At 36.3% G+C, this 13510-nt stretch overlaps 1 long non-coding RNA gene and 1 pseudogene across 3 annotated transcripts in view; one reads left to right on the top strand and one right to left on the bottom strand.

The window, feature by feature from the left end:
- Nucleotides 1-13510, bottom strand: part of LOC107984361 (uncharacterized) — a 552293-nt gene that overhangs the window by 257507 nt on the left and 281276 nt on the right. The gene's annotated exons all lie outside the window — the stretch shown is intronic.
- LOC124902816 (uncharacterized) lies at nt 5936-6050 on the top strand (annotated as a pseudogene).

Raw genomic sequence — 13510 nt, 5'->3', positions numbered from 1 at the left:
ATTAGGAAAAAAAGGAAGTCAAATTGTCCCTGTTTGCAGATGACATGACTGTATATCTAGAAAACCCCATAGTCTCAGCCCCAAATCTCCTTAGGCTGATAAGCAACTTCAGCAAAGTCTCAGGATACAAAATCAATGTACAAAAATCACAAGCATTCTTATACACCAATAACAGACAAACAGAGAGCCAAATCATGAGTGAACTCCCATTCACAATTGCTTCAAAGAGAATAAAATACCTAGGAATCCAACTTACAAGGGATGTGAAGGACCTCTTCAAGGAGAACTACAAACCACTGCTCAACAAAATAAAAGAGGATACAAACAAAAGGAAGAACATTCCATGCTCATGGGTAGGAAAAATTAATATCGTAAAAATGACCATACTGCCCAAGGTAATTTATAGTTTCAATGCCATCCCCATCAAGCTACCAATGACTTTCTTCACAGAATTGGAAAAAACTACTTTAAAGTTCGTATGGAACCAAAAAAGAGCCCGCATCGCCAAGTCAATCCTAAGGCAAAAGAACAAAGCTGGAGGCATCATGCTACCTGATTTCAAACTATACTACAAGGCTACAGTAACCAAAACAGCATGGTACTGGTACCAAAACAGAAATATAGATCAATGGAACAGAACAGAGCCCTCAGAAATAATACCACATATCTACAACTATCTGATCTTTGACAAACCTGAGAAAAACAAGCAATGGGGAAAGCATTCTCTATTTAATAAATGGTCCTGGGAAAACTGGCTAGCCATATGTAAAAAGCTGAAACTGGATCCCTTCCTCACACCTTATACAAAAATTAATTCAAGATGGATTAAAGACTTAAACGTTAGACCTAAAACCATAAAAACCCTAGAAGAAAACCTAGGCATTACCATTCAGGACATAGGCATGGGCAAGGACTTCATGTCTAAAACACCAAAAGCAGTGGCAACAGAAGACAAAATTGACAAATGGGATCTAATTAAACTAAAGAGCTACTGCACAGCAAAAGAAACTACCATCAGAGTGAACAGGCAACCTATAAAATGAGAGAAAATTTTCACGACCTACTCATCTGACAAAGGGTTAATATCCAGAATGTACAATGAACTCAAACAAATTTACAAGAAAAAAACAAACAACCCCATCAAAAAGTGGGTGAAGGATATGAACAGACACTTCTCAAAAGAAGACATTTATGCAGCCAAAAAACACATGAAAAAATGCTCACTATCACTGGCCATCAGAGAAATGCAAATGAAAACCACAATGAGATATTTTCTCACCCCAGTTAGAATGGCAATCATTAAAAAGTCAGGAAACAACAGGTGCTGGAGAGGATGTGGAGAAATAGAACACTTTTACACTGTTGGTGGGACTGTAAACTAGTTCAACCATTGTGGAAGTCAGTGTGGCGATTCCTCGGGGATCTAGAACTAGAAATACCATTTGACCCAGCCATCCCATTACTGGGTATATACCCAAAGGACTATAAATCATGCTGCTATAAAGACACATGCACACGTATATTTATTGCGGCACTATTCACGATAGCAAAGACTTGGAACCAACCCAAATGTCCAACAATGATAGACTGGATTAAGAAAATGTGGCACATATACACCATGGAATACTATGCAGCCATAAAAAATGATGAGTTCATGTCCTTTATAGGGACAGGGATGAAATTGGAAATCATCATTCTCAGTAAACTATCACAAGAATAAAAAACCAAACACCGCATATTCTCACTCATAGGTGGGAATTGAACAATGAGAACACATGGACACAGGAAGGGGAACATCACACTCTGGGGACTGTTGTGGAGTGGCAGGAGTGGGGAGGGATAGCATTGGGAGATATACCTAATGCTAGACGACGAGTTAGTGGGTGCAGCGCACCAGCATGGCACATGTATACATATGTAACTAACCTGCACATTGAGCACATGTACCCTAAAACTTAAAGTATAATAAAAAATAAAAAATAAAAAAATTTAAAAAAGAAAAAGAAAAACAAACATAACAAAAAGAATATGTCATAATTTGCTTCTCCATTCACTTATTGATGAACATTTAGATACTTTTCAGGTTTCAGCTATTATGAATAAAGCTATTTTTAACACATATATGCAAATATTTTGTGTGTATGTAAGTCTTTTGTCTTTTGTGTGGGGAGAGGGGGGCTTATGTGCTTTTATTTTTCTTGGGTAAACACCTAGGAGTGGAATTGCAGAGTGATAGAGTATGTCTAGGTCTAATTTTATAAGAATTTGCCTAACTTTTCCAAAGTAACTGAATTATTTTACCCTCCTGATATGGTTTGGCTGTGTCCCCACACAAATCTCATCTTCAATTCCCACATGTTGTGGAAAGGACCCAGTGGGAGGTAACTGTATCATGTGAGCACGTCTTTCCCATGCTGTTCTGGTGACACTGAATAAGTCTCACAAGATCTGATGGTTATAAAAAGGTGAGTTTCCCTGCACAAATGCTCCTCCGTTTGCCTGCCACCAACCATGTAAGACATGACTTGTTCCTCCTTGCCTTCTTCCGTGATTGTGAGGCTTCCTCAGCCATGTGGAACTGTTAGTCCAACCAAACCTCTTTCTTTTGTAAATTGCCCAGTCTCGGGTAGGTCTTCATCAACAGCATGAAAATGAATACAGTAAATTGGTAGCAGTACAGTGGGGCACTGCTGAAAAGATACCCAAAAATGTGGAAGTGACTTTGGAACTGGGTAACAGTAGAGGTTTTGGGGGGCTCAGAAGAAGACAGGAAAATGTGGTAAAGTTTGTAATTTCCTAGAGACTTGTTGAATGGCTTTGACAAAAATACTGATAATGATATCGACAATGAAATCCAGGCTGAGGTGTTCTCAGATGAAGACAAATAACCTGTTGGGAAATTGAGTAAAAGTTACTCTTGTTATGTTTTAGCAAAAAGACTGGTGGCATTTTGCCCCTGCCCTAGAGATTTGTGGAACTTCAAACTTGAGAGAGATGATTTAGGGTATCTGGCAGAAGAAATTTCTAAGCAGCAAAGCATTCAAGAGATGTTCTGGGTGCTGTTAAAGGCATTCAGTTTTATAAGGGAAGCACAGCATAAAAGTTCAGAAAATTTTCAGCCTGACAATGCAATAGAAAAGAGAAACACATTTTCTGAGGAGAAATTCAAGCTGGCTGTAGAAATTTGCATAAGTAATGAGGAGCCAAATGTTAATCCCCAAGACAATGGGGAAAATATCTTCAAGGCATGTCAGAGGTCTTCACAGCAGCTCCTCCCATCACAGGCCCAGAGTTCTAGGAGGAAAAAGTGGTTTCTTGGGCCAGGCCCAGGGTTCCAGTCCTGTGTGCAGCCTAGGGACTTGGTGCCTTGTATCCCAGCTGCTCCAGCCATAGCTAAAAGGGGCCAATGTACAGCTCGGGCCATGGCTTTGGAGGGTGCGAGCCTCAAGCCTTCACAGTTTCCATGTGGTGTTGAGCCTGCAGATGCACAGAAGTCAAGAATTGAGGTTTGGGAACCTCCACCTAAATTTCAGACTATGTAGGGAAATGCCTGGATGTCCAGAGAGAAGTTTGCTGCAGGGGTGGGGCTCTCATGGAGAACTTCTGCTCGGGCAGTGCAGAAGGGAATTGTGGGGTCAGAGTCCCCATACAGAGTCCCTACTGGGACACTGCCTAGGGGAGCTATGAGAAGAGGGCTGCTGTCCTCCAGGCCCCAAAATGGTAGATCCACTGACAGCATGCACCATGTGCCTGGAAAAGCCACAGACAATGCCAGCCCATGAAATCAGCTGGGAGGGAGGCTGTACCCTCCAAAGCCACAGGGTCAGAGCTGCCCAAGACCATGGGAACCCACCTCTTGCATCAGCATGACCTGGATGTGAGACATGGAGTCAAAGAAGATCACTTTGGAGCTTTAAGCTTTGACTGCCCTGCAAGATTTCACACTCACATGGGTCCTGTAGCCCCTTTGTTTTGGCCAATATCTCCCATTTGGAATGGCTGTATTTACCCAATGCCTGTACCCCCATTGTACCTATGAAGTAACTGAACCAGCTTTTGGTTTTACAGGCTCATAGGTGGAAGGGACTTGCCTCATCTCGAATGGGACTTTGGATTGTGGACTTCTGAGTTATTCTGAAATGAGTTAAGACTTTGAGGGACTGTTGGGAAGGCATGATTGATTTTGAAATATAAGGACATGAGATTTGGGAGGGGCTAGGGGCAGAATGATATGGTTTGGCTGTGTCCACATCCAAATCTCATCTTGAATTCCCATGTTTTGTGGAAGGGACCCAGTGGGAGCTAATTGAATCATGGGGGCAGGTCTTCCCCATGCTGTTCTCGTAATAGTGAATAAGTCTCATGAGATCAGATGGTTATAAAAAGGGGAGTTTCCCTGCACAAGTGCCTGCCACCATCCACATAATACATGACTTGCTCCTCCTTGCCTTCTGCTATGATTTTGAGGCTTCCCCAGCCATGTGGAACTGTAAGTGCAATTAAACTTCTTTCTTTTGTAAAGTGCCCAGTCTCAGGTATGTCTTTACCAACAGCATGAAAATAGACTAATACACTTCCAAATAGCAATGTATGAAAGTTCTGGTTGCTCTATATCACCATTAACATCTGGTGCTATCATCCCTTGTAATTTTAGCCATTATAGTAGATGTTTACTGGTTTCTCATTATATTTTCTCTTTGCATATCTCAGATGACAATTAATGTCAAACACATTTTCATGAGTGTATTTGCCATTTAAAAATATTCCTATGTGAAATATTTAAGTTTTTCATCCAGTTTTCTTGACTTTAATTTTTAAATTATTATTTTTATAGGAATCTTTGTACATTCTGGAGATAAATCATTTTTCAATAGTATGAACTACGAATATACTCCACCTGCCTGAAACTTGTGTTTTTGTTTACCTACTCATGCTGTTTAAGAATAGAAGTTTTAATTTTGATAAAGTAAAATTTGCTAAAATTATTTACTTTTTTATGTTTCTTGAGTACTAGACAAGAAATGTCTGCTGATTCCTAGGTAATAATAACATTTTTCTATGTTTTCTTCTAGACATTTCATAATTTTAATATTTACATTGAAGTCCATAATTAATTTTATATAAATTATTATGTGCTATACAAAGTAAAAGATAAGATTTATTTTATCTATATAAATATCCAGTTATTTCAGCACCATTTGTTAAAAAGACTACCTCTACCCCCATTGAATTACCTTGGTAACTTTGTCAAAAATTATATAACCACATAAGTGTGAATCATATATTTCTAAACTCTGATTACTGTAACTCTATGATTAGTCTTAAAGTCAATAAACTTAAGTTACCCAACTTTGTTCTTCTTTTTCAAAATTGTTTTGTCTATTCTGGATTATTTGCATTGCCTATAAATTTCAAAATAAAATCAGCAATCTCTACCAAAACAGCCACATGAGCTTTTGATTGTGATCACAGTGAATCTATACATCAGTTTAGGAAGAATTACCAAATTAACAATGCAGTACTAAGTCTCCCAATCCTAGTATAGCACATTGTTCCACATTTTTAGGTCTTTCTTAATTTTTAAGCAGTGTTCTATAGTTTTAAATGTAGAGTTACTACATATCGTTTACTAAATTTTTCATATTTTTATTACACATTGTATTATTTTTATTTAATTTCATATTCAAATTATTGATAGTTTATAAAACAATTGATTTTGTCTATTTATTTTGCATACTGTGACTTTGCTAAATTTCTTTATTAGTTCTAGTGCACATTTTTTAAACTCTTAGAATTTTTAATACACACAAGCATGTTGCCCAAATTTTTGTTTGCCTTTTTCCTACATATGCCTTTTATTTATTTTCTGTGACTTATTGCACTGGCTACTACCTTTAGTAAAATACTGAATTGTCATGATAAGAGTAAACATCTTATGCTCACTTCAGCAGCACATATATTAAAACTGGAATAATAAAGAGGAGATTATCAGATTAGCATGGATCCTGCATGAGAATGACACGCAAATTTGTAAAACTTTCCATATTTTTACATAAATGTGAAATTCCACAAAAAGATAGATACCATAATGAAGAACCAAACAGAAATCCTGCAGTTAAAGAATTCAATGAATAAAATAAAAAATGCAATCAAGACCATCGAAAGCAGACTTGATAAAGCAGAAGAAAGAATCTCTGAACTTGAAGATATGTCATTTAAAATTATCCAGTTAGAAAAAAAAATAAAAATAAAAAAGAGTAAAGAAAACCTACAAGAATTATGGTACACCATTAAGTAAAAAACATTCATATAATAGTAATGCCAGAAGGAAAAGAGATAGGCAAAGGCATAGAAGATCTATTTACTGCAATAATAGCTGAAAACTTTCCAGTTCTGAGAAGAAATATGGATATCCAGATCCAGGAAGCTGAAAAGCCCCAAGTAGATTCAACCCAAAAAGATCCTCCCTGAGGCACATTATAGTCAAACTGTCAAAACTCAAAGGCAAAGAGAATTTAAAAAAAAAAAAAAACATCAAGAGAAAGGTATTAAGTCAATATAAAGGAATCCTCGTTAGACTAACAATAGATTTCTCAGTAGAAACCTTACAGGCAAGAAGAGAATGGGATGATATATTAAAAATACTAAAAGAAAACAATTGCAAGCCAAGAATACCATACCTAGAAAAGCTATCCTCCAAAAATGAGGAAGAAATAAACTCTTTCTCAGGCAAGCAAAAACTGAGGAAAATTGTCACCACTAGACTGGCAGTATAAAAAAATGCTTAAGAAAGTTCTGCATCTGGAACCAAAAAGATGATAATCACTATCACAATAACACACAAAAGTATAAAACTCACTGGTAGAGCAGATACACAAATGATAAAGAGGAAAGAATCAAAGTTTGTCACTACAGAAAACCGGCAAACCAAAAAGATAAATGAGATTAAAAAAATAAACGAGAAGATAGAAACAACAAGAAAACAATTAACAAAATAACAAGAGTACATCCTCACCCTCAATAAACAGTATAAACAGATTACATTCCTCAATAAAAGATACAGACTGGCTGAATACATTTTTTAAATAATCCAACTGTATGCTGCCTACAGGAAACTCACTTCACCTTTAAAGACATATAGACTGAAAGTGAAGGGATAGGAAAAGATATTCCACACAAATGGAAATCAAAAGCCAGCAAGAGTGGCTATACTTATATCAGATAAAACAGATTTTAAGTCAATAACTATAAAAGAGACAAAAAATGGTTATTATATAAAAATAAATGGATCAATTCAGCAAGATAATATAACAATTATAAACATATATTCAACATCAAAGCACCCAGATATGTAAAGCAAATATTATTAGATCTAAAGAGAGGGCTAGACTCCAATACAGTAATAGTTAGGGACCTAAACACCACTTTCTCAGCATTGAACAGATACCTTACACAGAAAATCAACACAGAAATATTAGATTTAAACTGCACTTTAGACAAAATAAATCTAACAGACATTTACAGAACATTTTATCCAACAGCTGCAGAATATACATTTCTCTCTTCAGCACATGGAATATTCTCCAGGATACACCATGTGTTAGGTCACAAAACAAATCTCAAGAAATTTAAAATAATTGAAATTATATCAAGTATCTTTTCTGACCATAATGGAATAAAACTAGAAATCAGTAACAAATGAACTTTGGAATCTGTACAAATACATGGAAATTAAACATCAGCCTCCTGAACAATTAGTTGGTCAATGAAGAAATTAAGAAGAAAATTTTAATTTTCTTGAAATAATGACAATAGACTGACTGCAGTGGCTCAAGCCTGTAATCCCAGCACCTTGGGAGGCTAAGATGAGCAGATTGCTTAAGCCCAGGAGTTTGAGACCAGCCTGGGCAACATGGCAAACCCCTGTTACAAAAAAATACAAAATGTAGCTGGGCATGGTGGCACACACCTGTAGTCCTAGCTACTAGGGAGGCTGAGCTAGGAGGATCACTTGATCCCAGGAAGTTGAGGCTACAGTGAGCCATGATTGTGCCACTACACTCCAGCCTGGATGACAAAGTGAGAACCTGTATCAAAGAAGAAAGAAGAAGGAGGAAAGGAGAGGAGAACAGAGGGGAGGGGAGGGGAGGGGAAGGGGAAGTGAAGGGGGAAAAACGTGAAGGGGGACGTGAAGGGAAGGGAAGGAGGAAGGGAAGCGAAGTGTAGGGAAGGGAAGGGGGAAGGGAAGTGAAGGGTAGGGAAGGGAAGGAGGAAGGGAAGCGGAGGGGAGGAGGGGGAGGGGAGGGGAGGGAAGGGAAGGTGGAAGTGAATGGGGAAGGGAAAGGAAGGAAAGGGGGAAGGGAAAGGAAGGGAAGGGGGAAGGGAAGGGAAGGGGGAAGGGAAGGGAAGGGGGAAGGGGGAAAGGGAAGGGGGAAGGGAAAGGAAGGGAAGGGAAGGGGAGGGGAAGGAAGGGGGAAGGGAAGGGGAAAGGGAAGGGAAGGGGAGGAAGGGGGAAGGGAGAAGGGAAAGGAAGGAAGGGGGAAGGGAAGGGGGAAGGGGAAGGGAAGGGGAAAGGGAAGCAAAGGGGGAAGGGAAGAGAAGGGGGAAGGGAAAGCAAGAGAAGGGGGAAGGGAAGGGAGAAGGGAAGGGGGAAAGGAAGGGAGAAGGGAAGGGGGAAGTGAAGGGGGAAGGGAGAAAATAGAAACACAACATACCAAAACCCGTAGGATACAGCAAAAGTGGTATCAAGGGGAAAGTTTATAGCAACAAATGCCTATATCAAAAAAGTAAAAAGATTTACATAACAAACCTAATAATTCCTCTCAAAAAGCAAGAAAAACAAGAACAAGCCTAAACCAAAATTAGTAGTAGGAAAGAAATAATAAAGATCAGAGTAGAAATAAAGAAAAGTGAGACATAAAAAAAATACAAAATAACAACAAAGTGAAAAGGTGGTTTTATGAAAAGGTAAACCAACTTGACAAACGCTTAGCCAGACTAACCAAGAAAAAAAGAGAATGTATCCAAATCAATAAAATTATAAATAAACAAGAGACCTTACAACTAATACCACAGATATACAACGGATCATTAGAGAGTACTATGGACAACAATAACAGATAGGAAAGCCTAGTAAAAATGGACAAATTCCTGGTCACATACAATCTACCAAAATTAAACCAAGAAGTAATAGAACATCTTAACAAAACAATTATGAGTAATGAGATTGAATCAGTAATAAGAAGTCTCCCAGCCAGGTGCAGTTTCTCACATATGTAATCCCAGCACTTTGGGAGGCCAGAGCAGGAGAATCGCTTTAGCCCAGGAGATTGAGGTTAAAGTGAACGATGATCACACCACTGAACTCCAGCCTAGACAACAGAATGAGACCCTGTCTTAAAAAGAAAAGAAAAAGAACAAAAAAAGAAAAGAAATAAAGCCTTCCATCAAAGAAAAGTGTGGAACGTGATGAGTTCACTACTGAATTCTACTAAACACTTAAAGGAAAATGAGTACCAATTCTTCACAAACTCTTCCAGAATGTAGAAAAGGAGGGAATTATTCTAACTCATTCTAAAAGGCCCATGTTACCCTGATACCAAAACCAGAAAAGAAAAGAAAACAAAACAAAACAAAAAAAACTATAGGCCAATATCCCAGATGAACATAGATCTAAAAATTCTCAGCAAAATACTAGCAAACTGAATCTATCAGCAAATTAAAGAGATTATTCACCATGATCAAGTGGGATTTAAGCCAAGGATACAAGAATTTGGTATATGCAAATCAATAAATGTAATGTATCATATCAACAAAACAAAGAATAAAAACCATATGATCATCTCAATAGATGCAGAAAAGGCATGTGATGAAATTTCACATGCACTCATAATTTTAAAAATCTTCAAAAAACTAAGTATAGAAGGAGTGTACATCAACACAATAAAGGCCATATGTGACAAACCTACAGCTAACATTATACTGAACAGAAAACGGTTGTTTTCTAAGAAATGGAATGAAATAAGAATGCCCACTCTCACCACACGTATTCAACATAGAACATAATATGGTAAGTCCTAGCTAGGGCAATAAAGCAAAAGGATAAAATAAATGACATCCAAATGGGAAAGGAATAAGTTAAATTGTTCTGTTACCAGACATGATCTTATATATACCCTGAAAGCCCCACCAAAAAACTCTTAGAACTGATAAACAAATTCAGTAACATTGCAAAATACAAAATTAACATGCTAAAATCAGTAGCATTTCTATACACCAACAATGACTAGGTGAAAAGGAAATCAAGAAAGCAATCCCATTTACAACAGCTACAGAAAAAATACCTAGAAATAAATTTAACCAAGGAAGTGAAACATCTCTACAAGGAAAACTATAAAACATTGATGAAAGAAACTGAAGAGGTCACCAAAAAATGAAAAGACATCCCACATTCATAAATTAAAGAACTGATATTGGGAAAATGATTATACTACCCAAAGCAATCTACAGATCCAATGCAATCCCTAACAGAATACCAATGACATTCTTCAAAGAAATAGAAAAACAATTCTAAATTTATATAGAACCACAGAAGACCCAAATAGCCAAAGCAACCCTGAGCAAAAGGACAAAGCTAGAGGCATTATACTACCTGACCCTAAAATATACATCCTCACCCTCTAACTAAAACAGCATAATACTGGTACAAAAACAGACACATAGACTAATAGAACAGAATAGAGAACCCAGAAATAAATCTATGTATTTACAGCAAACTGATTTTTGACCAAAAAAAAAAAAAATTCAGTGGGGAAAGAACAGTCTCTTCAATAAATAGTTCTGGTAAAACTGGATATCCATATACAAAATAATGAAACTAGGTCCCTATCTTTCACAATATCTAAAAATCAAATAAAAACATACCACCTGAAACTATGAAACTACTGAAAAGTAAATGGAGAAATAGTACAGGATATTGATCTGGGCAAAGATTTTTGAGGTAAAACTTCAAAAGCACAGGCAACAACAACAAAAAAATAGACAAATGAGATAATATCAAGCCAAAAATCTTCTATACAACAAAAGAGACAATCAACAGAGTGAAAAGATATCCTACAGAATGGGAGAAAATATTTGTAAACTAACCATCTGACAAGGAGTTAATAACCAGAATATATAAGGAATTCAAACTCAATGGCAAATAATAATAATCTGAATTTAAAATGAGCAAGTATCTGAATAGACATTTCTCAGAAGAAGACATACAGATTGTCAACAGTCATATGAAAAAAATGTTCAACATCACTAATCATCAAAGAAACACAAATGAAAGGCACAATGAAATATCTCACCTCAGTTAAATGCTACCATTAAAAAGACAAATAACAGATGCTAGTGAATATGCAAAGAAAGGGGAACACTAGTACACTGCTAGTAGGAATGTAAATTAGTACAGCTACTATGAAAAACAGTATGGAGAGTCTTCTAAAAACTAAAAGTGGGTCCACCATATGATCTACCAATCCCCCTGCTTGGTACATATCCAAAAGAAAGAAAACCAATATATCAAAGAGATATTTGCATGCCCACGTTTTTTATAGTATAGCACTTTTGCCAAGATATGGAATCAACGTAAGCATCCATCAAGAGATAAATGAATAAAGAAAATTTGGTAGATATGCACAATGGAATACTATTCAATCACAAAATAAAGAATGAAATCCTGTCATTTGCAGCAACATGGATGGAACTGGAGGTCATTACATTAAGTGAAATAAGTCAGGCACAGAAAGACAAATATCACATGTTCTTGCTCACATGAGGAATATAAAAAACTTGGTCTCATGCAGGTAGAGATTAGAATGATAGCTACGAGGGGCTGAGAAAGAGGAGTGGAAATGAAGATTGGTTAATGGGTACAAGCATACAGTTAATTAGAAGGAGTAAGTTCTAGTGTTCGACAGCACAGTAGGGTGACTATAGTTAACCATAATCTAGTGTATATTTCAAAATAGCTAGATCAGAATATTTGAAATGTTCCCAACATGAGATGATAAATGTTTGAGATGATGGATATCCTAATTATCCTGATTTAAACATTATGCATTATATGCATGTATCAAAATATGTATAATTGTATATCAATAAAAATAGTAAACATCCTTACATTTTCAAAGTTTTATATATTTCATCATTAAATATTATATTAGCTGTAGGTTTTACATACATAACTTTTATCTAGTTAAGGAAGCTTCCTTTAGTTTCTAGTTTGCTAGTTTTATCATTACTGGATGCTGAATATTTTAAATAATTGATTAATATTAAAGATTGGTGTTAATTTTTCTAATACATTTGATAGAGTTTACTAGTGAATCTATATTACCCTAGCATTATCTTGGTGGGAAGTTTATTAACTATAAATCAACTTATTTAATGATATGTAAGGCAAGTTTTAAATTTCTTTTCATGCCAGTTATGGAATTTGTATCTTTCAGGGATTCATCAATTTTATCCAAGTTATCCAATTATTGGCCTACAGTTGTTCATTCTATTTATGCTAGTACCTTACTATCTACTCATTGCCTGTATAGAATTTCTAGTGATGCCAACACTTTCATTTAGATGCACTAAATTACCAAATTTGTTTGTTTTCTCATTTTTTCATGATTCAGCTAGCTGGAAACTTGTCAATTTTGTTGATCTTTTTAATGGCTCAACTTTTGCTTTTGTTGATATTTTCTACAGTTCATTCATTTTCTTCTTCATTAATCTCTACTCTTATCTTTGCCATTTTCCTCCTTCACACATTTTGGATTAGTTTGCTCTTTAATACTTTTTTTTCATCCTTTGGTAGTATTCAGACTATTTCACTCAATTTTCAATTTCCATATATGTCTCTGTGGACAGTCCTACAATTCACACACTTTGTCTATGGGATCCTTTAATATATTTATAATAGTTATTTTAAAGTTATGTTTACTCTTTTAAATGTCTGTGTTATATCTGAGTCTCTTTATATTAACTTTTTTCTCCTAATCTTGGGACACATTTCCTTATTCTTCATATAGATAGTAATTTGTTGTTTGCAGGACATTGATACTGCAATGCTAAGAATCTGCACTTTGTTTGTTTGTCTTCCTGTAAAGTGTTGAATTTTGTTTTAGAAAGTAGTTATTTCACTGCCTGATCAGTTTTGTCCTGGAAAGTCTTGTTTTTAGGCTTTGTTAGGGCAGATATATAGTAGTTCTTGTTTAAAGTCTATTTGTAAGGTGTACCTTCTGTAGCGTCACAGCTGAATACCTGGCAGGAACCCTACCAGCCCTGTTTGATCTACAGAACCTTCATTTGGCTGTTAGCCTCCCTAGTACTAGTTCTCTGTCAGACCTCACAGTCTTATGCTGAGCAGGAGAAAGACCAGATAGAAGATCATTATAGGCCAAACACACAGATATCATTGCTTCCCAGGCACAAAGTTTCCTCATCAAATTATATAAGGGTTATAGGAGAGTGC

The sequence above is a fragment of the Homo sapiens genome, chromosome 11 (assembly GCF_000001405.40).
Source record: "Homo sapiens chromosome 11, GRCh38.p14 Primary Assembly".
Lineage (NCBI taxonomy): Eukaryota > Metazoa > Chordata > Mammalia > Primates > Hominidae > Homo > Homo sapiens.
The sequence above is the reverse complement of the archived record's forward strand: the minus strand, read 5'-3'. Positions and strand labels throughout refer to the sequence as shown.